Here is a 27,783-nt window from a genome sequence, read left to right on the forward strand (position 1 = left end):
AGCCCCTCCAAAACAGATGAATAAAATTGTGCATTCTTGAAAGGCTTAATCTTCAGTTATCTAGAAAAAATATACATGTGGAGCACTAGTCAGACAATATTTAAGATTATAATGAAAATATTCTAAAGTGAATCAGGTAAACAAATCTTACAGACCATTTTAGACTGTGCTAAATACATACAGTTCATAAAATTATTTTCCTAGTGTTTCCCAAACTTTAGCCATGATTTTCACCTATACTGTTTTTCTCTGAATCCACTCACTTGGATTTAAAGTTTTTCTTTACTCACTTTTCTTAAAATTTAGCTTTTTCCTACACACACACACACACACACACACACACACACACTTATAAAATCACAGATTTGATGCTGTGCTGGTATCCACTTGCCCTTTTCTCAGCCCATTTTTGATAGGCTGTTTCTATGGACTGCACTACCAACTGGTTTCTGGTAAGACTGCCCCATGAGAGATATTAAACACTAGATATTAGAGAATGGGAGTAAAGAGAGGTCTTTTTTTGTGCTCCTCCCTGCTTAAATCTTGCTCCATCTCCAAAACTACCACTCCAGCACCCCTCCACTCCAGTTACAGCATTTCTTCCCTGTATTCTTCCAGTCCTAGAGAAGGTAGTAGCGTTCTGCTATTGGTCTCTGGGTATCTTGCTATCTTGTATTTATTCCATTAACCACCAGCATATCTCTAAGTAGACCCTTCTTAAAGATACTTCCTTTGAGGCCGGGAACAGTGGCTCACGCCTGTAATCCCAGCACTTTGGGAGGCCGAGGCGGGCAGATCACTTGAAGTCAGGAGCTGAGACCAGCCTGGCCAACGTGGTGAAACCCCAGCACTACTAAAAATACAAAAATTAGCTGGGTGTGGTGGCACACTCCTGTAATCCCAGCTACTAGGAAGGCTGAGGCAGAAAAAACGCTTGAACCCAGGAGGCAGAGGTTGCAGTGAGCTGAGATCGTGCCACTGCACTCCAGCCTGTAATCCCAGCACTCCCAAAGTGCACCACCACCGCGCCTGGCCTAATACTTCTCTAGTAGAAATTTGCATGGCCTCTTTACTTTTTCAGGTCTTTGCTTATATAATAGGACACCCATCTCATTTTGCTTCCCAGCTTTATTTTTTATTAAAACTTTTTTTCTATATTTTTTTCAAAATTGGGTATCCCATTCCACCTACTTTATTGATAGCACTGAATCACCATATTATATGTTTATGCGTTACATATTATGTTTACTTGTTTCCTTGTCTTCCTAACTTAGAACATAAGCTCCAAGAAGGCAGGAACTTGTTCACTGCTGTATCCTCTGTATTTAATGCTTGACATGTGGTATGTGATCAGCAAGTATTGATTGAATGAAGAATAGTAATGTTTGCCTTTACCTCCATGAGTTAGTATAGATTCTAAAATATTCACCAGGATAAAGACCCTTTTCTGGTCCATTTATGTACTGTTTTACAGAGATGAAGGTTGGGATAAAGAAATAAAGGATAGGAGCTGGGCCCGGTGGCTCACGCCTGTAATCCCAGCACTTCCGGAGGCCGACGCGGGCGGATTACCTGAGGTCAAGAGTTCAAGACCAGCCTGGCCAACATGGTGAAACCCTGTCTCTACAGAAATACAAAATTCAGCTGGGCATGATGGTGATGCCTGTAATCCTAGCTACTCAGGAGGCTGAGGGGGAAGAATCGCTTGAACCTGGGAGGCGGAGGTTGCAGTGAGCCAAGATCGCGCCATTGCACTCCAGCCTGGGTGACAGAGCAAGACTCCGTCTCACAAAAAAGAAAAGAAAAGAAAAAGAAATAAAGGATGGGGCTGGGGCCACGGTGGCTTACTCCTATAAGCCCAGCGCTTTGGGAGGCTGAAGAGGGAGAATCACGAGGTCAGAAGTTCAAGACCAGCCTGGCCAACATAGTGAAACCCCGTCTCTACTAAAAATAAAAAAAAAGTAGCCGGGCATGGTGGTGGGCACCTGTAGACCCAGCTACTTGGAAGGCTGAGGTAGGAGAATCGCTTGAACCCAGGACGCAGAGGTTGCAGTGAGCAGAGTTCACGCCACTGCACTCCAGCCTGAGCAACAAAGCGAGACTCTGTCTCAAGGAAAAAAAAAAAGAGAGAGTGGGAAGTACTATGGACTGAACGAACAAAAAGGTGCTAAGACCCAAATACAGGCGTGTCCTTGGATCATGCAATTCAAAGCTTCTGGTAACCTTATCAATAAATGCTAAATCTAGTAAAACTTAAAATAGCTTTAAATCTCACAAAATTCCCTTTAAATTGTGTGCATACCCATGTGTGACAATCTGTGTAATCTTTAGTTCTGTAGTTTATATATCTAGTCACTTATAAAAGGACTAAAACAGTGGTTCTCAAAGTGTAGTTCTCAGATCAGCAGCATTGGTGTAGCCTATGAGCTCATTAGAAAGGCAAATTTATTTTAATAAGCTCTTGAATTTGATTCTTCTGCAAATTAATGTTTGAGAACCACTATACTGAAACCATCAAAAACTCAGTGACCTGTTATTCTAATTAAGGCCTTGGTATACATAACCATGATTATAAGCTTAACTACAATAGAATTTTACCTAAAAGACCACCATTTTAATTAGTATCTTATTGTCTACCAAACACATATTTATAAACATATTTTTAATATCAACTCTGAAAAATCAATGAGAAGTTAACATAAAAGCCGACCTTCGAGTTGATTTCCACCGTTAAAGACTTACACAGAATATGTGTTTATGATGCACAGCCAACTATAAGACATTAGAAATTTTTAAAAAACTACTACGGAAAAGAAATATGCACAGTATTGGAAAGGAGACTATCAAGAGTTAACAGGGGGCTGGGCACGGTGGCTCACGCCTGTAATCCCAACACTTTAGGAGGCCAAGGTGGGCGGATCATGAGGTCAGGAGATCGAGACCATCCTGGCTAACACGGTGAAACCCTGTCTCTACTAAAAATACAAAAAATTAGCTGGACATGGTGGCGGGCACCTGTAGTCCCAGCTTCTCAGGAGGCTGAGGCAGGAGAATGGCGTGAACCCGGAAGGCGGAGCTTGCAGTGAGCTGAGATTGCACCACTGCACTCCAGCCTGGGTGACAGAGTGAGACTCCGTCTCAAAAAAAAAAACAGAAAAAGAAAATACTGGAACAATTTTTTGAAAATAAAATGAAGTTGATGTTCCAGTTGATCGTGCCATTGCACTCCAGCCTGGGTGACAAGAGTGAAACTGTCTCAAAACAAACAAACCAACCAACCCCAAAAAAGTTAAGGGACCCTGCCTACCAAACAGATCTGGAGAGGTACCTCCTTGACTGGCAGTTTTTTAAAAGAGTTTTGAAGTACTAAAGACTTCAGCCACTAACAAATAAGAGTAAAAAGAGTCTGACAAGAGGAAAAACGGTTTTCTTATGGAAGAAAAGGTTCCTTTGACCTTACTACCAAGGAAGGCCCAATGTAACCCACCTATGTTTTGAGGAGTTCTTGAGAGAAGAGTTCTTCAGGTCTTTACAGGAAATAAGCAGGCATGAGGGAAATAAGCTTTCTGTATGGACCTGAAAAGTGCTTTAAGATTTAAAAACAAGGCCAGGCACGGTGGCTCACGCCTGTAATCCCAGTACTTTGAGAGGCCGAGGCGGGTGGATCACAAGGTCAGGAGATCGAGACCATCCTGGCTAACACGGTGAAACCCCGTCTCTATTAAAAATATAAAAAATTAGCTGGGTGTGGTGGTGGATGCCTGTAGTCCCAGCTCCTCGGGAGGCTGAGGCAGGAGAATGGCGTGAACCCGGCAGGCGGAGCTTGCAGTGAGCCAAGATGGCGCCACTGCACTCCAACCTGGGCCACAGAGCAAGACTCCATCTCAAAAAAATAAAACAAATAAATAAAATCTTAAAAAACAGCCAGGTGCAGTAGCTTACGTCTGTAATCCCAGCACATTGGGAGGCCGAGGTGGGCAGATCACTTGAGGTCAGGAGTTTGAGACCAGCCTGACCAACATGGTGAAATACCATTTCTACTAAAACTACAAAAATTAGCTGGCAGGTGGTGTCCGCCTGTAATCCCAGCTACCCAGGAGGCTGAGGCAGGAGAATCACTTGAACCTGGGAGACGGAGGTTGCAGTGAGCCCAGATCACACCACTGCACTCCAGCCTGGGCTACAGAGCAAGACTCCGTCTCAAAAAAAAAAAAATTAATCTTAAAAAATACTCTGTGGCCCTAAAGCAAAGTCCACACTTCATAATCATAAATAATAAATTTAAGTTCAAGGATTAAAGGAGTGAATTTTAGAATGTGAACTGGCTAAATCCACTGGGTATTCTCTCTCCAAGAAAGAAGGGTTCTTCATTTGGCAAAACATGTCAAAAATGCCACTGAGATTTAGACTAATTAAAAATTCAATCTGGGGATTAGAATTCAATACTACATACATATCAGGAACATTCAACGTATAAGGTATTGTGAATACATTAGCTTTTCAAATTATATTTAACCTGAGTTGAAGGATTAATGAGCTGGGCGCAGTGGCTCATGCCTGTAATCCCAGCACTTTGGGAGGCTGAGGCAGACAGGTCACCTGAGGTCAGGAGTTCAAGACAAGCCTGGCCAACATGGCGAAACCCTGTCTCCATTAAAAAATGCAAAAATTAGCCAGGCGTGGTGGCAGGCACCTGTAATCCCAGCTACTTGAGAGGCTGAGGGAGGGAGAATTGCTTGAACCCAGGAGGCAGAGGTTGCAGTGAGCCGAGATCACATCACTGCACTCCAGCCTGGGCGACTGAGCGAGACTCCATCTCAAAAAAAAGGATTAATGAAAGGCAGCTGGGGTGGGGGCAGGCTACTCTATAACACTAACTCAGAAACAGCTGGGGTGGGGGAAGGCTATTCTATAACACTAACTCAGAAACAGCTGGGGTGGGGGAAGGCTATTCTATAACACTAACTCAGAACTCACTTGTAATTAACGACATTCTTTTCTTATAAACCTTTTCACAGGAATAACCAGAGGCATCTTTTCAGTATGGCCAACTCCTTGTCATTCCTATATATCCTTCCTTCCTTCTATACAAAGCTCTTTTCTTCCTACTAGTTTTCTTGACTTCAGTTCTGTTCAACTCCCTTTTCTTCACATTATCCTTAGCAGTGTTCAGATTATAAAATCTCCTTTCTCAAATAGTTTCACTGGATCTTTAACTATAAATATCAAATGCAGTCCATCATCAGTTTTAAGGTTCTGGAATCTTATTCTCCCAGGGAGCAGGTTTTTAATTCTTCAGCTAGAAAAGTACTTTAAATGGCTAGAGGACTTGGACTGATTGGATAGGGTAAACTTCGCTGCTGAATGGCATAGGCTTATAAAATACAACCAATAATGTCTTAGATTTGGATGTTAAATTCAGATTATTGAAACTAGATTCAGGTCCAAGCACCGTGGCTCACGCCTGTAATCTCAGTGCTTTGGAGGCCAAGGCAGGGGTTCTGCTTCAGTCCAGGAGTTGGAGACCAGCCTGGGGAATATGGCGAAACCCTGTCTCTACCGAAAAAATACAAAAATTAGCTGGGAGCAGCCGGGCGTGGTGGCTCACGCCTGTAACCCCAGCACTTTGGGAGGCCGAGGTGGGCGGATCACAAGGTCAGGAGATTGAGACCATCCCGGCTAACATGGTGAAACCCCATCTCTACTAAGAATACAAAAAATTAGCGGGGCGTGGTGGTGGGCACCTGTAGTCCCAGCTACTTGGGAGGCTGAGGCAGGAGAATGGCGTGAACCCGGGAGGCAGAGCTTGCAGTGAGCCGAGATCGCGCCACTACACTCCAGCTTGGGCGACAGAGCAAGACTCTGTCTCAAAAAAAAAAAAAAAAAAAGAGCTGGGAGCCTGAAGCAGGAGAATCACTTGAATCCCAGAGCGGGGCGGAGGTTGCAGTGAGCCAAGATCGTGCCATTGCACTCCAGCCTGGGCAACAGAGTGACACTGTCTTAAAAAAAAAAAAAGAAAACTCAATAAAAGCTCACAGTAGTTAAACTCACTAAAAGTTACCTACAAGATACTATCACACTTTTTCTCAGGTAACATGTTTGAAAATTGGGAGTAAGAGTTTGTTTCTTAAATCACACTAAGAAAAAGATATGCAAAATCAAGCAAACTGAAATATCTATAGATAGAAAAGGCATCCTATCATCCTGTTTCTGACAGTAAATGGTATGTGTCAGCAAGACTTGAAACCAAACTTCCCAACACAGAAGAATCTTTTAAAAATATATTACAACCATGAAGATAAGCTAAATAGCTACAAATAATTTTTTTTTTTTTTAAATACAAGCTAGCTGGGCGTGGTGGCTCAAGCCTGTAATCCCAACACTTTGGGAATCTGAGGCAGGCAGATCACAAGGTCAGGACTTCAAGACCAGCCTGGCCAACATGGTGAAACCCCGTCCCTACTAAAGATATAAAAACTTAGCCAGGAATAATGGTGCGTGCTACTCCAGAGGCTGAGGCAGGAGAATTGCTTGAACCTGGCAGGCGGAGGTTGCAGTGAGCCGAAATCGCACCATTGCACTTCAGCCTGGGTGACAGGGCGAGACTCGTCTCAAAAAAAAAAAAAAAAGAAAATACAAGATAATTACAATCTTTGCAATACTCTGTGCCTAATGAAAATGGTTTTGGCTGGGCAAGGTGGCTCACGCCTGTAATCCCAGCACTTTGGGAAGCCGAGGAGGGCAGATCACTTGAGGTCAGAAGTTTGAGACCACCACACCAACATGGTGAAACCCCGTGTCTACTAAAAATACAAAAATAGCCAGGCGTGGTGGCACACACCTGTAACCCCAGTTACTCAGGAGGCTGAAGCAGGAGAATCCCTTGAGCCTGGGAGGCAGAGACTGCAGTGAGCCAAGATCACAGCATGGCACTCCAGCCTGGGTGACAGAGCTAGATTCTGTCTCAAAAAAAAAGAAAAGTAAACAGTTTTAATTAGTGACATCAGACTACAATTTTTATTTTACTTCAAACTAAGATATCTGCCTTGTCAGGGACTTCCCAGAAAATGGATACAGCAAGTGGACTTTTTTGTCACTTATTAGAAAAATTAAGTAAATTAATATAATACCACACAAAACCTCTCATCACAAACAAAACACCTACTTTGCATTAAACAATTTAATACATGCAAGTATTGAATTTAGTCACCTAAAGGAAACAAAACTTCTGATAAGAAGCAGGAAAATTCAGAGACAATATGAAGACCCTAAATCAGGAGACTAATTTGAGTAATAATAAAACTGTGGTCTCCCACAAAAAAAAAGATCCTAAATCAAACAGTTCTATTTAATTTCAAATTTCAATTGCATATATATAATAAGGACTCAATTTTTAATAACTCCTTACCTATATACATATGCCAGGTCCTGTTCTAAAATCTTCACTTGTCCCATTTAACCTCCACAACAATTTTCACTTTACAGATGAGTAAATTAACTTGTCCAAGTCCAGGCAGAACAGGGATCCAAACTCAGGCTGACTCCATTACACTACAATGTTTTCCTAACAACTATCCTATCAACTATCCAATCCTATCAATGTTTCCATTTCTATTCCCACTGATTATATTAAGCATCTAGGATAAAGCAAATAAGGATAAAATAAAAGTTAAAAACTTGGTGACTTCTGGAATGATTTAAATATTCGACCTCTAAATATCCCTCCTTTTCAAATCTGAGAACACTCCAGCTATCAGATACCAGGCAGGACATACTTATTTGGGACAGAGTATCACAAAGAAGCTACCAAAACAAATAAAAACAATACTATCATATAAACCATGGTATAGCAAACAATGACCTGTGGGCTGGGCCAAATTCAGACCTTGGTCTTTTTTCATACAAGCTAAGAATGGTTTTTACATTTGCTAAAGGACTTTTAAAAACAAAACAAAGGACAATTTACCACAGCAAAGCCTAAAAATTCACTATCTGTGTCCCTTTCAGAAAAAGTTTACTGACCCCTGATCTAAGCTACTGATAAAGAGGTTTCCTTCCCCTTTTTAAAAATAGCTAAGCAGTGGCTCATGCCTGTAATCCCAGCACTTCGCGGGAGGCCAAGGCAGGTGGATGGATCACTTGAGGTCGGGAGTTCGAGACCAGCCTGATCAACATGGAGAAACCCCATCTCTACTAAAAATACAAAATTAGCTGGGAGTGGTGGCGCATGCCTGTAATTCCAGCTACTTGGGAGGCTGAAGCAGGAGAGTTGCTTGAACCCAGGAGGTGGAGGTTGCAGTGAGCCAAGATGGTGCCGTTGCACTCCAGCCTGGGCAACAAGAGCGAAACTCTGTCTAAAAAAAAAAAAAAAGCTAAATGCGCCAGGTGCAGTGGCTCACGCTTATAATCCCAGCACTTTGAGAGGCCGAGGAGGCCAGACCACGCAGTGAGGAGTTCGAGACCAGCCTGGCCAACTTGGTGAAACCCAGTCTCTATTAAAAATACAAAAATTAGGCCGAGTGTGGTAGCTCACACCCATAATCCCAGCACTTTGGGAGGTCAAGGCAGGTGGATCAGGAAGTCAGGAGTTCAAGAACAGCTTGGCCAAGATGGTGAAACCCTGTCTCTACTAAAAATACAAAAATTAGCTGGGCGTGGTGGCACGTGCCTGTAGTCCCAGCTACTCGGGAGGCTGAGGCAGAGAACTGCTTGAACCCAGGAGGCGGAGGTTGCAGTGAGCCGAGGTCGCACCATTGCACTCCAGCCTGGGTGACAGAACAAGACTCCATCTCAAAAAAAAAAAAAAAATACAAAAATTAGCTAGGCGTGGTGGCCTGCGCCTGTAATCCCAGCTACTCAAGAGCTGAGGCAGGAGAGCTGCTTGAACTCGGGAGGCAGAAGTTGCAGTGAGCCAAGATTGTGCCACTGCACTCCAGCCTGGGCAACAGAGCAAGACTCTGTCTCGGGGGGGGGGGGAAAAAAGCTAAATGCAGGAACTGACTTGTAAGACAAACTATATCTAGGAGGATTAAAGGCGGAGTCCCTTAGCTCTAAACCAGAAGATAAATGTCTGAAGCATACTACCCACACCACCCCACCCCACCCCCATCCCGGGACAAAAAGGGCAAAAATAAGTGGTTTCCTCTCACCAGGAGGTGGCAGTAGGTTCTGGTTTGCCCATGGACTCAAGTTTTTTGTAGTGGTTACTAAGAAAAGCAAGCAGCCTGACCTCTCCAAAGAGCTGACTTTCTGTGCCTGACAATCTGAACAAAAAGGAAATGGAAAAGGAAGACAGGAACTAACCACATTCTCTTCAGTTACCTATTCACTCTCAACTAGAAAAATGACACCATTTCTGGCCGGGCGAGGTAGCTCATGCCTGTAATACCAGCACTTTGGGAGGCCGAGGCGGGTGGATCACAAGGTCAGGAGATCGAGAACATCCTGGCTAACACGGTGAAACCCCGTCTCTGCTAAAAATACAAAAAATTAGCCGGACGTGGTGGCAAGGCACCTGTAGTCCCAGCTACTCGGGAGGCTGAGGCAGAAGAATGGCGTGAACCCGGGAGGCAGAGCTTGCAGTGAGCAGAGATCGTGCCACTGCACTCCAGCCTGGGTGACAGAGCGAGACTCTGTCTCAAAAACAAAACAAAAAAAATCAGCCGTTTGTGGTGGCGCATGCCTGTAATGCCAGCTACTCGGGAGGCTGAGGCAGGAGAATAGCTTGAACCCAGGAGGCAGAGGTTGCACTGAGCCGAGATTGCACCATTGCACTCCAGCCTGGGCAACAGATGCAAAACTCCGTCTCAAAAAAAGAAAGGAGAAAAGAAAAATGACACCATTTCCTAAATGCATCTAGGCAAAAAGGTAAAGGGGTAGGGGAGAAGGCAAGTAAGAATGATCAGCTTGCATTATTCAGGGCTGTTCTTCATATTTGCTTCTACAATTCTTAAGAGTTATTACCCTTATAACTCTTCAGTTATTTGAGCAAGACAATGAATTTGTCTGCACAACTTCATGCAAGATGACATTTTAAAGATCAGAATTTGGGCCGGGCGCGGTGGCTCACGCCTGTAATACCAGCACTTTTGGGAGGCTGTGGCGGGTGGATCACCTGAGGTCAGGAGTTTGAGACCAGCCTGACCAACATGGCGAAATCCCGTCTCTAAAAATACAAAAATTAGCCGGGCGTGGTGGCGCATGCCTGTAATCCCAACTACTTGGGAGGCTGAGGCAAGAGAATGGAATGAACCCAGGAGGCAAAGGTTGCAGTGAGCCAAGATCGAGCCACTGCACTCCAGCCTGGGCCACAGAACGAGACTCCATCTCAAAAAAAAAAAAAAAAATTAAAAAAAAAATAAGTTAAAGAAGGAAAGTAGTAAACTTACAGCATTTCCCAGGAGAGCTAAACCCAGAAGTCAAAACAGGAAATTACAAGTCAAATGAACACATGCAGAAGTCATAGGTACTGGGTGACTGTACTAGCCAAGTTGCCCTGACAGGCACTGGCAAACATCCATTAACTAACAGCGCCAGACCTCTCATTGTTTCTTACTCCAACTTTCTGCTATACTACCAAAAGCTTAATTTTTGCCCAGAAACCCTTGGACACTTAATCAAATAACATTAGTATAAAACATGCCATGTCATGAAGCTTGCTTCATGATGACTCAGCAGCTTCTGCAAAACATCCAGTTGACAGCCTAGGATAATAAACAGCAAGTGGGTAGACCCTATGTCCACCAAAGCCTCAATAAGGACTAAAGAAAGTCCTTATTTTTAAGATTAAAAAAAAAAAAAAGGAGAGTATTCTTTTGAATATACCTGAATACTTTCCTTGGGTAGTGGTAGTTTCTGCCAATATTAAATAGCACCTACAGTGTTGATCAAGAAACCCCTAAATACCTTTACTTCCCAATTCAAAAGCTAAAATATGTTTTCTTTTTTAATTAAATAGGACAAGAAGCAAAAGTATTTTAGATAAGGGGCAATGATAAATTATCAAGATTTAAAACAAAACTACACAGCCTGAAGTCGTATCAACTCTAAGACACCTTGGATCATAGGTGTTATGCTGTTAAGACATCATCTCCCCAAAATTAGATTTTTATTTTATCTAAGTACATTTAAGCTGTGATCAGGGGCCGGGCGCGGTGGCTCACGCCTGTAATCCCAGCACTTCGGGAGGCCGAAGCGGGGAGATCACGAGGTCAGGAGATCGAGATCGTCCTGGCTAACATGGTGAAACCCCGTCTCTACTAAAAATACAAAAAATTAGCTGGGCGTGGTGGCGGGCGCCTGTAGTTCCAGCTACTCTGGAGGCTGAGGCAGGAGAATGGCATTAACCCGGGAGGCGGAGCTTGCAGTGAGCCAAGATCGCGCCACTGCACTCCAGCCTGGGTGACAGAGCGAGACTCCGTCTCAAAAAAAAAAAAAAAAGCTGTGATAACTTCAGACATCTGGAAAATATTAATTCCCTTCTAACCTCTATTCAGACCATCCAATGACCTATATTTAAAACAAGTCATTTTTCTACATGTCATACAAGAAAATCTAAGCACTCAAAGGCATTCATAGGAGAAAAGAAAGCATGCATGTGTAACTTCCATTCTACAGACGGATTAGGTTAAATGGCCAGGCTTGTGACCTGAATTCTAATCTTAAATCTGCTCGCAAATACCCCTTTTCTTCACAAATTTGAAAACTAAGCACTTTATGTACATATCTGGGGGAAAACTGGTGGGAGTAGTAACAGTGCCAAACCTAACCATCAGTAGAGAACGACTGAAAATACCTGAACCACAATTTTTACTACTCAAACATTTCCCTCAAAATAAAAAACATTTAAGAAAACTAGAAGACAAAAAAAAAAAAATTCCTCAAATCTTTACTTTTTTTTTTTTTCTTCGAGACAAGAGTCTCGCTCTGTCGCCCAGGCTGGAGTGCAGGGGCAAGATCTCTGCTCACGGCAAGCTCCGCCTCCCGGGTTCAAGCCATTCTCCTGCCTCAGCCTCCCAAGTAGCTGGGACTACAGGCGCCTGCCACCACGCCCGGCTAATTTTTTGTATTTGTTAGTAGGGACGGGGTTTCACCGTCTCTGGATGGTCTGGATCTCCTGACCTCGGTGATCCACCCGCCTCGGCCTCCCAAAGTGCTGGGATTACAGGCGTGAGCCAACGCGCCCGACCCAAATCTTTACTTTTAAAAATCTGTTGATAATGACACAATTTAACAACATCAACCATGTGAAAGTGTGTAATCTTTATTAGCATCCAGAATAAAGTAATCTAGGAAGTCTACCTTTAACAGTAGGCAACAAGTTATCAGATCCTTTTGCTACACTTTTGTTTTTCAACAAATTTAAGACACACACTTCCCACCTCAGTATCACTGATAAGTGGCTTTATTAAAATAAGTTAACATTTTCCTATTCAATACTTCTAACAATCAATATTTTAAAAATGGAATTTTCTCAGAATCAACTATCTCATTTACAATTAGGATAATCCTTTTTTATAATTTTAAACATCCAGGAGTTCATACAGTGGCTAAACTATAAGACCACCAACATTCCTGGAGTGTCAAAAGTAACTATACTTCTAGAATACGCCTCATAATATTAAAATATTTTGTGTATGAGATCAGAGCTGGAGTCCCGGTCAACTGTGGAGAATGGCCAATTCCAGCCTCCAAAATAAAGGCGGGGGTGGCGGTGTTGGGGGGGGGGAGGGGAGTCGCGCAGCAGAGAAAAGACGTAAGGGTGGAGAGGGACTTTCAAAATGCCCCAGTGCCACGGTTAACTATAACCTGGTTAATAAAATCTAAGCCAATGCTCTCAAGACGAGGAGGGCCACAGGCAGGGGAAACCGAGAATTAACTCATAGGCTGAGACTAAGTTATTCCACTTTCCATGTAACAGCGCCCCCCACAACTCCCCGTCTGCCCCAGAGTTAAGATTCCAAGGGGCAGCCCCCCCTCCTCAAACACACTAAAGAAGGGACACCAGAAAACAGCAAGTATAAGGGCCATCAACCACATCTTTTCCTTTCTCCCTCGAGAGAACATGAGTAATACCCTCAAATTCCAAATCCCCGCCAAAAAATAAAGAAACGCGCGCATCATGGGCCTACAATTTCTTTTCCCGCCCAGAGCCTGCCTGGGAAAGCCCCTGACCCAGAGAGTTGGGGGAAAGGCGGCCCAAACCACACGTGTGCGCCGCAAGGCTGGGCCTGTCTCAGCCCACTTCCCGTCGCCACCCCCAACGGCCTGAGCTCCCCCGGAGCCTCACTCGGGCCTTTCCTCAGGCCCTCCTGTCTGCTCCACGTGGGGCGCCGGGGCCTCGAACCGCCCGTCCCCTCCAGCCGAGTTTCCCCACCCGCCAGGCCACCGCGGCGTCGGGGTCCCATACCTGATGCTGTTGTCGCCCCTGCTGGTAAGGCTTAATTGGCCCCTGGTGGCAACGCCGCGTCCGGATCTTGCCGCCACCGCCCCCTCCGACTCCTCCGGCTCCCGAGGCCATGGCGGAGCCTCCGCCGCTTCCCGCTCCGGGGCGGGTAAGGGGGCGGGAGAGGCAGAGGCGGAGGCCTTAGAGAGCCTCCCCCGCCGCCCGGCCCCGGCCCAAAAGTCCGCCCGCGCTGTCCACACAGTGGGCACAAGCACCCCAGGAACCGCGAGGTTGCGAGCAGGAGCGGAGAGAGGGTGAGTGCTGGCAGCGGGGAAGGGGGTGGCGGCCGCAGAGGCCGAGGAGGCTCCGGTCCGGCCGCCTCTGCGGACCCCCGCCTCTGTGTGTGTCACGGTCTCTATGGAGATCTCCCGCAGAGGACAGCACGAACAGTTCCCCGCGGTGCTGAGGCCTAACTCGACCGCCGACTGGTGGGAGTTCTTCCGTCGCCCTAGCCGTAGCTGCCGCAGTTGAAGCCGCTGGCGACGCCCGCCTACCCCTCCCCTGTGCGCACAGCGCCCGCCCCGCCGCCGTCGTCGTCGTCGTCCCTGCAGCCTCCGCCGCCGTTGCGCCTATTACCCCTGCTAAGGCGGCTGCCGCGGTCGCGAGCCAGAATGTCGTCACTCATCGGCGCCCGACGCATTTGCATCATCATGCTGCGACGAGCTGATAGGCAAAGAGGAAGGGCTGGTCGAGTCCACGCTCTCGGCCGCGCGGCACGCTGGGAAACGTAGTTCAACAACGGAACGCGGCTTCTCGGAAAGGAAGAGGGACGGGGAAGGAGATCTCCGGGGCGCCGCAGAGGCACAAAGCCAAGGGGTACTTTTGCTGTTCTTGGCTGTAAATTAGACTTTGAAAAGACACTTAACATAAAAACAGTAACCTCTTCCCATTCTCCTTCTCCCTGTCGGTTGGTTAAGTAGGCAGGAAGTAAGCAGACAGTAAAATCAAAGACAAGAGCTAATGATTTAAGAAGGAGGAAAAAAAAATCTGTGGTTGAAAAATAAAGTCCATGATCCTTAGAATTAGAAAATATATACGGCTTCATTAATGTTTCTTTAAACATATAAAGGTTTTGTTGCAGACACACGGGGCTGGAATTCTGGTTCTGCCACCCAACCTATTTGACCTTGGATGAATCAAAACCGTCTGAGCCTTAGCTTCCTCCTCCATAAAATGGGAGCTTTAAAATCCACCTTATAAAGCTGTTGTGAGGAGCAGACGTGATCATCTATGGAGAGCATGTATATTTGCTAATAGACGAAAAATGCGATGAATGATTACAATTATAACCCATGCAGTCAGCTAACATTAGGGGTAAGTGATATATCCTTAACAATAAAAGTATACTATATTTGCTCCAAATATTTAGGAAACTGAGTAAGTGAGCTAGACTCAAAGACTGAATCCACAAAATGTATATTCTAGGAGTTGACGATTAGAAAGGTCCTGGTGATCACATAGTCCAACCCTCTCATTCAACCAACCAGACAAGATGTCCAGAGAAATTTAGGTGGCACAATCAATGACACTGAGATGGGTAATCAAAGCCAGGACTATAACCCAACTTTTCTGTAAGAGCTAAAGACAAATAGCCAAATGATTAGGGAGGAAAAATATGTTGTGAAAAATCTTAGACTTACTATAAATCTTTTTTTTTCTTTCTTTCTTTCTTTCTTTTTTTCTGAGAGACAGAGTCTTGCCCTGTCGCCCAGGCTGGAGTGCAGTGGCGCGATCTTGGCTCACTGCACCCTTTGCCTCCCAGGTTCAAGCTATTCTCCTGCCTCGGCTTCCTAAGTAGCTGGGACTACAGGCGTGCACCACCACGCCCAGCTGATTTGTGTATTTTTAGTAGAGATGGGGTTTCGCCATGTTGGCCAGGCTGGCCTTGAACTCCTGACCTCAAGTGATCCACCCGCCTTGGCCTCCCAAAGTGCTGGGATTACCCGTGTGAGCCGCCACGCCCAGCCTATTTACTATAAATCTCCCACTTACTAGCTGTGTAGCCTTGGGGAAGTTACTGATCCTGTTTCTTTCTTTTTTTTTTTTTTTTGAGACGAAGTTTTTTCCTCTTGTTTTGCCCAGGCTGGAGTGCAATGGCGCAATCTCAGCAACCTCCACCTCCTGGGTTCAAGCGATTCTCCTGCCTCAGCCTCCCGAGTAGCTGGGATTACAGGCATGTGCCACGACGGCCGGCTAATTTTGTATTTTTACTAGAGATGGGGTTTCTCCATGTTGGTCAGGCTGGTCTCGAACTCTCAATCTCAGGTGATCTGCCCACGGCCTCCCAAAGTGCTGGGATTACAGGCGTGAGCCACCGCGCCCAGCCCACTGATCCTGTTTCTAAGCTTCGTTTTTTTCATCAGCAAATAGAGCGAATATTGACCTCACAGGGTAGTGGTCTGGTGAAAGGATTAATGTATATCTAGTTCATAGTAACTGCTTAGATAGAAAGCATCCAATATCAACCATCAATCAGATATAAATAATTAGTTCCAAGACATTTATACTATCTCCACAATCAAACTGCACAATTCAGGTTCATTGTTTAAATCATACAAGTGAAATTGTAAAGCCAGTCTTCTAGTACCTTTGAACTTGTACCTTTCAGCGCCTAAAGAAACTATGCTATACCAAGCATAGGTGTACACATCAATGGCTTTCAGTGGCACCTCTGACCATAACCATCAAGATCAAGACAAGTTGCCAAATATGATAAACAAAATTAATCTATTTTCCGCTGTCTCATCCTAGCTTCATGCCTCCTCCCACCACTAACTTCCCACTAAATTCTCCAGGTATGCCCCCTCTTCCTCCTGAAGCACTTCATCTTTCTTAAAGACAGTTGTTTCCCTCAGGTGCTATCTTCCTCCTATGCAGAAATCCTATTCTTCCACAAATCCATAGCTAGATATTTGACAGCCAAGTAAAGTAATTCACGATAAGCTAACTCATAGGGAAGATCTGTACCTGAATCTTTAATTGGGTTATACGTAGAGGAGATTAAACCATAGCCACATCCCATCTGCCCTCTTCACTCTATGAGACCCAGAGTTTCCACCACAGAACAGAGGACTGACTGGAATCAAAGCTCACCCCTTTCTTGGAGGCTATTCTTTGATGTGCTGGACACCCTTCACAGCCAACCTTTGAAAGGAAGAGAGACGCGAAAGAATTGGGCCAAATGTAGACAATGCTTCAGAAATAGAAGATTGGTAGAACTTGAGGAGATATGGGAAAATCCACATTCCTTTTACCCATGCTCTCAACTTTTTACCCATTTCCACAATTATTTTATTTCTTGGAAGTAAAATAGTATTTGAGGGAACTATAATGCATTAATCTCACATTCATGTGATTGAGTCATTGGAAGCCGTGCCAGGCTTGAGAGCAGAGAAGGAATAAAGAGACAGGAGGAAATCTGCATTCAACCTGGACCTAGTTTTTTCAGCCAAATAAATGGCATATTGGGAGACACTGCAATTCATGAAAAGCTTGTTGCTACAATAGTCCTCCTCTGCCAAGAAACTTCTTTATTTTGTTCCCCATATAATATAGTAGAAAGTGGCCGAGCACAGTGGCTCACACCTGTAATCCCAGCACTCTGGGAGGCCAAGGCGGGTGGATCACTGGAGGTCAGGAGTTCGAGACCAGCCTGGCCAACATGGTGAAACCTGTCTCCACTTAAAAAAAAAAAAAAAAAAATTAGCTGGGCGTGGTGGTGCTCACCTGTAGTCCCAGCCACTCGGGAAGCTGAGGCAGGAGAATCGCTTGAACCATGGAGGTGGAGGTTGCAGTGAACTGAGATCATGCCACTGCACTCCAGCCTGGGCCACAGAGTGAGACTCCATATCAAAAAAATTAAAAAATTAAAACAACAAATATATATATATATGTATATATATATATGTAACCAGCTGCCAATTATAAATTAGCAAATAGGCTGCTGACCCATCTCTAATAGATAAGGAGTATCCACTAATTAAAAGTGAAATACAATTTAGTCTAAACCCAACCTAGATTGAAAAAGAGCCATCATACATTCTTCAGAAGGTACTAATACAATTCTGGCCAAAAGAATGTTTAAAGATGACAAGTACAAGAAGTTACGAAATTTTATGTAGTTATTCCACCTTACCAAAACAAAATGAGGTATCTGCTGTGATGTCTATTAAAACAAATTATCACACTCATGCACAGCATAACAATGTTTCAATCAACAATGGGCCCAATATACAATGGTGGTCCCATAAAGAGCTGAAAAATTCGTATTGCCTGGTGATACTGTCTTTGTCCTAAGGTCTTATTGCAACACATTACTCACGTGTTTGTGGTGATGCTGGTATAAACAAACCTACTGTGTTGCCATTTGTGTAAAAGTGGAGTATGTACAATTATGTACAGTACAGAATACTTCATAATGATAAGTGGCTGTTTCTGGTTTATGTATTTACTATACCTTTTTTTTTTTTTTAACAGGCACTCCTTGCCATTTCCTGTTGCTACCATACTTTATTATTTTAAAGTGTATTCCTGGTCAGGCATGTGGCTCACACCCATAATCTCAGCACTTTGGGAAGCCAAGGCAGGAGGATCACTTGAGGCCAGGAGATTGAAACCAGCCTGGGCAACATAACGAGACCCCTTCTCTACAAAGAAATGAAAAAATTAGTTGAGCTTAGTGGTGTGCACCTGTAGTCCCAGCTACTAGGGAGGCTGAGGCAGGAGGATCACTTGAGCCCAGGAGTCTAAGGCTGCAGCGAGCTATGATCTCACCACTGCAGTCCAGCCTAGGTAACAGAGTGAGACCCCATCTCTAAAGAAAAAAATAAAGAAAATGAAGCTATTGGGTTTATTTATTATTTATTTATTTATTTATTGCCTGTTTGCTTGTATTTTAGGGAAAGAAGGGCCACACAACGGAAAGATATTTAAGGATGTAAATCATTGTATTCTCATTAACTTACTGTGTTCTCTCTCTATTGGGAATAAAGTAATATTTAAGACTAAATTAACTAATATGAGCAAATTTTGATTAACTACATATATCACTTGATTCCAACATGCCATATATTTCCTCTTCCTGACTACATGTATCAATGTATACTAGACTTTGGTATATATGTGTTTATGTACATTACATTATAGTTTAAGGCATATTTTAAATTCAATCTTGAATGGAAACTCAGTTTTATTGGATGAAATAATAACCAAATTTAGGAAGGCAATCCCATCCTAACATTTAAGACAGTTAATGAATTAACTGAGATTAATTCATTAAAACACAAATATTTATTGAGATATTTATGTGTTGGTTTCTAGTCTTGGCATTTAGTATGTCAGTATACAAAACTGTAAAACAATCTCTGTCTACATATTATGCTACACTTTACCATTTTATTGAGTTATACTAAAGTTTACTATTTTATAATCTATTAATCATTAGCACTTAACACTGATAATTCACCTTAAAAATGCTACACTCAAGCCAGGCACAGTGGCTCACACCAGTAATCCAGCAGTTTGGGAGGCCAAGATGTGCGGATCACCCGAGGTCAGGAGTTTGAGACCAGCCTGGCCAACGTGGCAAAACCCCGTCTCTACTAAAAAAATTAAAAAATTAGCCGAGTGTGGTGGCACATGCCTGTAATCCCAGCTACTTGGGAGGCTGAGACAGAAGAATCGCTTGAACTTGGGAGGCAGAGGTTGCAGTGAGCCGAGATCATGCTACGGTACTGCAGCCTGGGCAACTGAGCCAGACTCTGTCTCAAAAAAAAAAAAAAAAACCTACACGTAAATTCTAAACACATGCTGTTGAATCTATCTCATACAAGAAATCAGGGGCGGGCACGGTGGCTCATGCCTGTAATCTCAGCACTTTGGGAGGCCAAGGCAGGCGGATCACGAGGTCAGGAGATCAAGACCATCCTGGCTAACATGGTGAAACCACCGTCTCTACTAAAAATACAAAAAAAAAAAATTAGCCGGGCGCGGTGGTGGGCGCCTGTAATCCCAGCTACTCGGGAGGCTGAGGCAGGAGAATGGCATGAACCTGGGAGGCGGAGCTTTCAGTGAGCGGAGATCATGCCACTGCACTCCAGCCTGGGCGACAGAGCGAGACTCCATCTCAAAAAAAAAGAAAAAAGAAAAAAAAGAAATCAATTGGTTTAGTTTTATTTATTAACATAATTCATCAGTTACATTACGAAACTGGACTTATTAAGGTTGCAGTCTGTAAAACTATAACCTTTGCAAACCTTAGTTTGCTAATACTAAGCTTCTTTATTTTTTAAAAGCATTTGTAGAGAATGCTCAAGTTTATCAGACCCTAACTTATTAAGGCATTCCTTTTCAAAAGCATGCAAACCAGTTAACATGCAAACAACCCTCACATACATATCACCCCACCACCATCAGACAAGCATGAACTACCCAGTTTAAACAAACAGTGACTTTTGGCCTCTTGCTGCTACTCTGACCAGCAAGCACCAGCTGCAGCCCCCGGGAGCTTGTTAGAATAAAGCAGCTCTGCCCATCCCAAGCCAACACAATCAGAATCTACATTTTAACAAGATCACCAGGTGAACTGTATTACATTCTAGGAGCATTGTTTCAAAACCATGCCACCAGAAGTTATTAATCTGAAGTTAGATTAACTTTGAAGGCAAGACAATGAGGTACCTGAAGTTCCCGTAAAGAGCAGGCTTAGGAACTTCTGTTCCTTACTAATCTACAACAATCAACAATTTAAGAATTGATGAACCAACAGCTTATACAACATGTAGTTTTTTTTCCTCTTCTTTATCATTCTGTACCTTTCTCCTTTACCACAAAGTGAGCAGAAATGGAATGAACCATTTTTTAATTATTCTTTCATTAACTTTTTTTTTCCAAAGGAAAAAGGTAATCTAGCAGAAGTTATTAACATCTGAAATGTTAAGGGTCTAAAACTGAGCATTAGTTATGAAATATACTTAAGCATAGATATTTCAAGAACCCCTTGCTAATTCCCATGTATCCTTTTCTTATACAAATTTTCTTTTAGTCACTGCTGGTTGTTTGGTTGGTTGCAAAAGAAAAAGAAAAATTTTATTTTAGAACTAATTCATGAAAAAAAAAAATGGATGTAAAGTAAACCCTAATCCAAGAAGCTATGAGCAGAGATAAATTCCTAAAAGAAATATCAGGCTACTTTCTTAGAATTGCGATGACTTTTCTCATTCCGTTGTAGTCACAAAATCATTTTTAAGGTAGAAAAGCAAGCGGGCACTCTAGGAGGGAATATTCTTAGGCTTGGATTGGCATCTAATATATCTGGAATGCTAGATGAGAATTCAGGCAACTTGGAATAAACTGTAATTTTTCTAAACTGTAAAGGCAGGAATGGTAGCAGCTTTCTACTTGACAAATCATAAAAACAATTAGATTACCTACCTCTAGTAGCTTGACCTCTTTTTTTTTTTTTTTTTTTCAGACGGAGTCTGCCTCTGTCGTCCAGGCTGGAGTGCTGGAGTGCAGTGGCACGATCTCGGCTCACTGCAAGCTCCGCCTCCCGGGTTCACGCCATTCTTCTGCCTCAGCCTCCCGAGTAGCTGGGACTACAGGTGCCCGCCACTATGGCTGGCTAATTTTTTGTATTTTTTTTTTTTTAGTAGAGACGGGGTTTCACTGTGTTAGCCAGGATGGTCTCGATCTCCTGACCTCGTGATCCGCCTGCCTTGGCCTCCCAGAGTGCTGGGATTACAGGCGTGAGCCACCGTGCCCGGCCATAGCTTGACCTCTTAAATAGCTGCTATGAAGCTAAGACAATAATTGGACATAGTATTTTCTCCAAACATTACTTCTGGAAAAGTTCAATTTGATAACAATAATGGATATGTTAGTCTAAAAGTTTCCAGAAGAAGTCATCACAACATGCCTATTGTTCTTAACTCCTGCAATAGAGAAGGCCTAAAAAGCTGTGCAATACAAAAGGTGAAAAATCATATTTAAAAACTTACATACATCACCCCTTGTGTAGGCCAAATAGAAGCATGTTTGCTCATGTGAACAGTTAAACATCAAGGGCAGATAATGAGGTCACTGAAGTTCCTGTAAAGAGCAGGCTTAGGAATTTCTGTTCCTTGCTCATCTACAACAACCAACAATTTAAGTAAGAATTGATGAGCCAGCAGCTTATTGATCATGTAGATTTTTTTTTTCCTTTTACCATTCAGTAACTTTCACTTTTACCACAAAGTGAGCAGAAATGAGATGAACCATTTTTTAATTGTTATTTTCATTAGCTTCTATTTCCAAAGGAAGCTAGGCTACTAGCTGAAATGAAAATCTGGATTTAGCACATCCTTATTCTGTATCATCACAGGTAGCAGAGTTGATTTAACAGAGCAATTACACAAGCATAATGGTTAGTTAAGATGATTTTAAGCCAATATCTATAATCCATGGCCAGTGGCCTCAATGTAGCTTACCTTGTTTGGATCCATTATAATGACAGTAGGATATCATGAGCTACCAAAAGTAGGCTTCTTTAAAACCAAAAAAAAAAAAAAAAAAAAAAACCCAATAAAAAGAACTCTTCAAATATTCTCCAAAGCAAAGATGAGTGAGGTTATATCATTCTACATTTAGTATTAAAAAGGCAGTATCACCAAACAAATTGAAGGCAACTTTGCAGACGTTGAGCAAAACCTACTTAAACAACCACCCCCAACTACAGAAAACTCTCCCCCTCTCCCCATGAAGGTGTAGCTTCCACTATGTACCCATACAATGTGTAGAATAAAAGCATCAAAGCAGACCATAGGCCTCCAAGAAGGCCACAACCAAGCAACAAAGAGCATCAACTAGCCACAGTTAAACCCAAGCCATAACTTAAATGCTTTCAATTAGTAACAGTTACATTTTCTTTTTCACTTGTTTGGTCATAAAATCTTGCCCCTTCAATGAGTCAGCAGTGACTCATAAGCACTTCCTACAAGAAGCACCCGCTTTTAGGCCCATCCCTTCCAGCCGAAGTGCTGAGACCCAGGATTGATTTTAGCTTCATCCTTGCTGATGCTTGAGTTTAATCACTTGTCTCTCTCATACTGGATATCCATGTTGGCCAGCAGTTACTCTGCAAAGTAGTGGTCTGCTGCTGTGCAGTGAGGAGGCAAATCCACAAAGGGGCACCAGGAGTAGTAGACAATTGGGAAGGAAATGCCATTTTTCTCTCTTCGCTCTTGTCCACTATAGCTCTGCCTCTTTGACTCCTCATCATAAGGTCCCAGCCTTTACAACTATGCCTCCTCCTGTACCAGCAGAGTCTCCTCTCAAGGTTTGGTTTTGGTTTACAAACAAAGAGGAACTGACTTTTTGCCTACACCACTAACTTTAGAACACGGTCCTTTGAAAAGTATCCAAAACTGAGGTCGGGAGTTCGAGACCAGCCAGACCAACATGGAGAAACCTCGTCTCTGCTAAAAATACCAAATTAGCCGGGTGTGGTGGCATATGCCTGTAATCACAGCTACTCGGGAGGTTGAGGCAGGAGAATTCCTTGAACCCAGGAGGCGGAGGTTGTGGTAAGCTGAGATCGCACCAATTGCACTCCAACCTGGGCAAAAAGAGCAAAACTCTGTCTCAAAAAAAAAAAGAAAATCCAAAACTGAGATGGAGGGGAAAAAACGCGACAGTTCTGAGAAGCTTTCTGCCTTAATTTCTTTCTTTCTTTCTTTCTTCTTTATTATTATTATTATTTTTTTTTGAGATCGTGTCTTGCTCTGTTGCCCGGGCTAGAGTGCAGTGGTGAGATCTCCGCTCACTGCAACCTCCGCCTCCATAGTTCAAGTGATTCTCCTGCCTCAGCCTCCCAAGTAGCTGGGACTACAGGCACCTGCCACCAAACCCGGCTAATTTTTATATTTTTTAGTAGGAATTGGGATATCCTAATTTCAAGTTAATGAAAAGAACAAGAAAAGTGCAGTGGTTAGTTTTACATGAGATCCAAACAAAACAGGTCAGATCACTTGTTTCAATTTCTCCAGCAATTTTCCACTGAAAACTTCCTATATATGGAAGGAATATAGAAAAAGAAAAGAGGAAATGTTTAAGGAGTGATGTCAGACAAAAGAGAAGGAGGCTGAGACGAGCAAGCAGGGAGGGCAAATTTTAAATTCTGGCAAATAGTCACTGCTAGACATGTCTGAAAATACCATCAAAAATTCTGCCAGGTTCACGGCCAACCTGAACTCACCCTTGGTGTATTTTCCCTCTATAAGGCAGTCTTTTGGGTCCAGATTGGCTCCTTGTTGACCTAAATTCAAAAGCTGTAAAAAAACGAACAAAGGATGAGTGATACCTTGCAGAAATGGTGTTACCGAAACCCAGAGTGTCACTTACTGGCGTCATAAATAATGAAGGACTAATAAATAATACATGGAAAAGAAAAGACCCTCGTCATTGTCACTTCATGTTTTCCTCACATTTTGTATCCATAAAGCCAGGCACAAATTGAATGAATATTTATTGAAAGGATGAATGGACATTTATAGGAGGTTTCACAATTCCTTATTTCCCTCAACAACTTTTATGTTATGCAAATGTTTTCTGTGTTTGAAAAAAAATACTTTAAAATGAAACTTGTTAAAACAATCTTTTATTGCTAGAACACTTGAAATCTCCCTTTTGCTTTTAAACACAATTTACCTGAGACCATGTACTATTTGCAGTATCAGAGGTAAACAGAAAAATCACTTTTTTTTTTTTTTTGAGACGGAGTCTCGCTCTGTCGCCCAGGCTAGAGTGCAGTGGCGCGATCTCAGCTCACTGCAAACTCCGCCTTCCGGGTTCACGCCATTCTCCTGCCTCAGCCTCCCGAGTAGTTGGAACTACAGGTGCCCGCCACCATGCCCGGCTAATTTTTTGTATTTTTAGTAGAGACAGGGTTTCACCGTGTTAGCCAGGATGGTCTCGATCTCCTGACCTAGTGATCCACCCTCATTGGCCTCCCAAAGTGCTGGGATTACAGGCGTGAGCCACCGCGCCTGGCCTCAGAAAAATCACTTTTATGGACTCAGATCAAGATGGTGCTTTCTCTGGGGGATTATGCCAAAATAGGAATGTGACCTGAAGGGAGAAGGAAGTGCACTTTAAAAACAGACCTTCGGCCGGACGCGGTGGCTCACGCCTGTAATCCCAGAACTTTGGGAGGCTGAGGCGGGTGGATCACGAGGTCAAGAGATCAAGACCATCCTGGCCAACATGGTGAAACCCCATCTCTACTAAAAATACAAAAATTAGCTGGGCATGGTGGCACGTGCCTGTAGTCCCAGCTACTTGGGAGGCTGAGGCAGGAGAATCGCTCGAACCTGAGAGGCGGAGGTTGCCATGAGCTAAGATCACACCACTGCACTCCAGCCTGGCGACAGAGTGAGACTCTGTCTCAAAAAAAAAAAAAAAAAAAAAAAAAAAACCACAAAAAAACAGGCACTTTAGAAGGCTGAGGTGGGAAGATTACATGAGGCCAGGAGTTTTAGATTAGACTGGGCAATGGTGCAAGACCCCCATCTCTCCAAAAACAGTTTTTAAATAGCCGGGTGTGTTGGCATGCACCTGTCATACTAGCTACTCAGGAGGCTGAGGAGGGAGAATCACTTGAACCCAGGAGTTTGAGGCTGCAGTGAGCTATGATCATGCCACTGTACTCCTGCCTGGGTGACAGAGTGAGATCCTGTCTCTAATAAATACATACATACAGAATGACAGACTTTCGGGAATAGCATTCAACAGCTATAGAAGACCATGTATTCTGCAGATGGTAACATGATAATGGGATGTGTCCTGCCATTTAGGGACAAGTGGAAGTGGTCATACTCTTTTTTTTTTTTTTTTTGAGATGGAGTCTCGCTCTTGTCACCCAGGCTGGAGTGCAATGGTACGATCTCAGCTCACTGCAACCTCCACCTCCCGGGTTCAAGCGATTCTCCTGCCTCAGCCTCCTGAGTAGCTGGGATTACAGGTGTCCACCACCATGCTCGGCTAATTTTTGTACTTTTAGTAGAGATGGGGTTTCACCATGTTGCCAGGATGGTCTCCAACACCTGACCTCAGGTGATCCGCCCGCCTTGGGCTCCCAAAATGCTGGGATTACAGGCATGAGCCACTGTGCCCCACCAGAAGTGTTCGTACTTATAAGTATTTTGAGTAAATACATATGCAGATAAATTTCCTTTTGGAAATATTTGTTGCTTAGGATTTTAAATGATTTGCAGATTAAAAGCTTCAGATTAGCTGTCATGGTTTCCCCTCCTCAACTTGGTGGGCTTGGAGTCAGGACTTTCAATTTAAAGAACGTGAGTACAATTTAGTGATTCTTTAGCAGAGAATGCTATTTATTTATTTATTGAGATAGTGTCTTGCTCTGTCATCCAGGCTGGAGTGCAGTGGTGCAGTCTTGGCTCACTGCAACCTCCACTGCCCAGTTTCAAGCGATTCTCCTGCCTCAGCTTCCCAAGTAGCTGGGACCATGGGCGTGCACCATTGCACCCGGCCAATTTTTGTATTTTTAGTAGAGATGGGTTTTCGTCATGTTGGCCAGGCTGTTCTCGAGCTCCTGTCTCAAGTGCTCCACCTGCCTCGGCCTCCCAAAGTGCTGGGATTACAGGCATGAGCCACTGCACCCTGCCTATTTATTTTTTTAAAGACAGGGTCTCGCTCTGTTGCCCAGGCTGGAGTGCAGTGGTACAATCAGAGCTCGCTGCAGCCTTGAACTCCTGGGCTTAAGGGATCTTCCCACCTCAGCCTCCTAAGTAGCTGGGACCACAAGCACACACCACCACGCCCAGCTAATTTTATTTTTTGTAGAGATGGGGTCTTGGTACATGACCAGGCTGGTCTCTAACTCCTGGGCTCAAGTGATCCTCCTGCCTCAGCCTCCCAAAGTACTGGCACTACAGGTATGAGCTCACTGCACCTGGCCTCCTTTCTTTAGATGAAATACATTCTTCTGTACAAAAGGCCAGGTGACAGAAGGTACTGTAAAATGTGCACTGGAGACAAAAATACATAGACCTAAGGTTGCAAGGGAACAAACTGTGTCCTCAAATAATTGCAATATCTAGGTAGGATCTTGCAGAGATGAAGAGGAGGCCAAGGAATAGGATTTAAAGCCTCCACTGTTAGTAACTAAGTGCAGGAAATGATAGCACTATTTATTTATTTATTTATTTATTTATTTATTTATTTATGTATTTATTTATTGAGTGCCCACACTATGCTGTGCACCTTGCTGGGTGCCTTCCATGCATTTTTTTTTATCCTTATGAGGACTCTTTTAGGGAATAAAAGAGAAGGGTTATTAAGTATGCTCAAGGTCATACCAAATAGTTGACAGAAATGGGCTTTGAACACAGGTCTGACTGATTTTTAAAAACTCTAGTTCTTCCATTAGCCAGGTGACACTCTAGAGCTTCCCACAGGCAATGGGCAGGTGGAGAGGGTGGAGCCTGAGATATTTATGGAAGCTGCCGAGCTAACTGGAATCCCTGACTCTTCTCACCTAGGTATGTGTAGCTGCTTTTCCGTTAGCGCCTTGGCAGGATTTCAGGAGCAGAGTAGGGACTCTGCTAACCAGATCAGTGTACTGGGTGATGTGCTCTTGGGCCCCAGACACTTGTGAACTCCTTTCTTTGTATAGCTGCCAGATAACATTCAAAACACTCCATTAAGTTTGAATTTCAGATGAACAATGAATAACTTTTTGTATATGTCCTCAATATTGCAAATATGGCATGAAGCAATTAATTTGCTAAACCTGGCAATGCTACTTCTTTGCCCTATTTCAAAATGGCTTAAATTATATATATATATATATATATATATATTTTTTTTTTTTTTTTTTTTTTTTTTAAGAGACGGAGTCTCATCTGTCACCCAGGCTGGAGTGCAGTAGTGTGATCTCGGCTCACTGCAACCTCTGCTTTCTGGTTTCAAGCGATTCTTCTGCCTCAGCCTCCCTAGTAGCTGGTATCACAGGTGTGCACCACGACACCCGGCTAATTTTTTTTTTTTTTTGACAGAGTCTCGCACTGCTGCCCAGGCTGGAGTGCAGTGGCACAATACTGGCTCACTGCAAGCTCTGTCTCCCGGGTTCACACCATTCTCCTGCCTCAGCCTCCCGAGTAGCTGGGACTACAGGCGCCTGTCACCACACCCGGCTAATTTTTTGTATTTTTAGTAGAGACACGGTTTCACCATGTTAGCCAGGGCGGTCTCGATCTCATGACCTCGTGATCCGCCCGTCTCGGCCTCCCAAAGTGCTGGGATTATAGGCGTGAGCCACCGTGCCTGGCCTTAAATTA

General features: G+C 43.6%; 1 protein-coding gene and 1 long non-coding RNA gene across 5 annotated transcripts in view, besides 7 other annotated features; one reads left to right on the forward strand and one right to left on the reverse strand.

The window, feature by feature from the left end:
- The window catches only part of NUP153 (nucleoporin 153), a 91,889-nt gene extending 77,832 nt beyond the window's left edge, over positions 1 to 14,057 (reverse strand). For all 3 annotated transcript variants that reach the window (NM_001278210.2, NM_005124.4, NM_001278209.2), the window contains exon 1: positions 13,409 to 14,057. In NM_001278210.2, coding sequence (NP_001265139.1) covers positions 13,409 to 13,519 — 111 coding nt within the window. In that variant the 5' untranslated portion in view covers positions 13,520 to 14,057. The remainder of the gene's footprint in view (positions 1 to 13,408) is intronic.
- Positions 8,888 to 9,007: an enhancer, noted in NCBI's record as "active region_24114". NCBI's record gives its function as "activates an Ori minimal core promoter by ATAC-STARR-seq in GM12878 lymphoblastoid cells {active_cell/tissue: GM12878}" and the evidence as "EXISTENCE:reporter gene assay evidence [ECO:0000049][PMID:35858748]".
- Positions 11,202 to 11,371: a silencer, noted in NCBI's record as "fragment chr6:17704301-17704470 (GRCh37/hg19 assembly coordinates)". NCBI's record gives its function as "represses an EF-1alpha promoter that drives an FKBP-Casp9 reporter gene in an ReSE screen in K562 erythroleukemia cells {active_cell/tissue: K562}" and the evidence as "EXISTENCE:reporter gene assay evidence [ECO:0000049][PMID:32094911]".
- Positions 11,888 to 12,047: a silencer, noted in NCBI's record as "silent region_16965". NCBI's record gives its function as "represses an Ori minimal core promoter by ATAC-STARR-seq in GM12878 lymphoblastoid cells {active_cell/tissue: GM12878}" and the evidence as "EXISTENCE:reporter gene assay evidence [ECO:0000049][PMID:35858748]".
- NUP153-AS1 (NUP153 antisense RNA 1) lies at positions 13,262 to 18,159 on the forward strand. 2 transcript variants are annotated; one of them, NR_134618.1, is made up of 3 exons: positions 14,175 to 14,260; positions 14,526 to 14,758; positions 17,921 to 18,159. It is a non-coding gene; the product is annotated as an NUP153 antisense RNA 1 (long non-coding RNA). The 2 variants fall into 2 exon arrangements; NR_134616.1 differs by lacking the exons at positions 14,526 to 14,758; positions 17,921 to 18,159 and having other exon boundaries at positions 13,262 to 14,476.
- Positions 13,379 to 13,888: a silencer, noted in NCBI's record as "silent region_16966". NCBI's record gives its function as "represses an Ori minimal core promoter by ATAC-STARR-seq in GM12878 lymphoblastoid cells {active_cell/tissue: GM12878}" and the evidence as "EXISTENCE:reporter gene assay evidence [ECO:0000049][PMID:35858748]".
- Positions 13,379 to 14,248: a biological region, named in NCBI's record as "NANOG-H3K27ac-H3K4me1 hESC enhancer GRCh37_chr6:17706574-17707268".
- Positions 13,475 to 14,169: an enhancer, noted in NCBI's record as "NANOG-H3K27ac-H3K4me1 hESC enhancer chr6:17706574-17707268 (GRCh37/hg19 assembly coordinates)". NCBI's record gives its function as "activates a minimal SCP1, AML or CMV promoter by ChIP-STARR-seq in primed H9 embryonic stem cells {active_cell/tissue: H9 hESC(primed)}" and the evidence as "EXISTENCE:reporter gene assay evidence [ECO:0000049][PMID:30033119]".
- Positions 13,979 to 14,248: an enhancer, noted in NCBI's record as "active region_24115". NCBI's record gives its function as "activates an Ori minimal core promoter by ATAC-STARR-seq in GM12878 lymphoblastoid cells {active_cell/tissue: GM12878}" and the evidence as "EXISTENCE:reporter gene assay evidence [ECO:0000049][PMID:35858748]".
- Positions 18,160 to 27,783: the final 9,624 nt, after the last annotated feature.

This window comes from Homo sapiens, chromosome 6 (assembly GCF_000001405.40).
Source record: "Homo sapiens chromosome 6, GRCh38.p14 Primary Assembly".
Classification (NCBI taxonomy): Eukaryota; Metazoa; Chordata; class Mammalia; order Primates; family Hominidae; genus Homo; species Homo sapiens.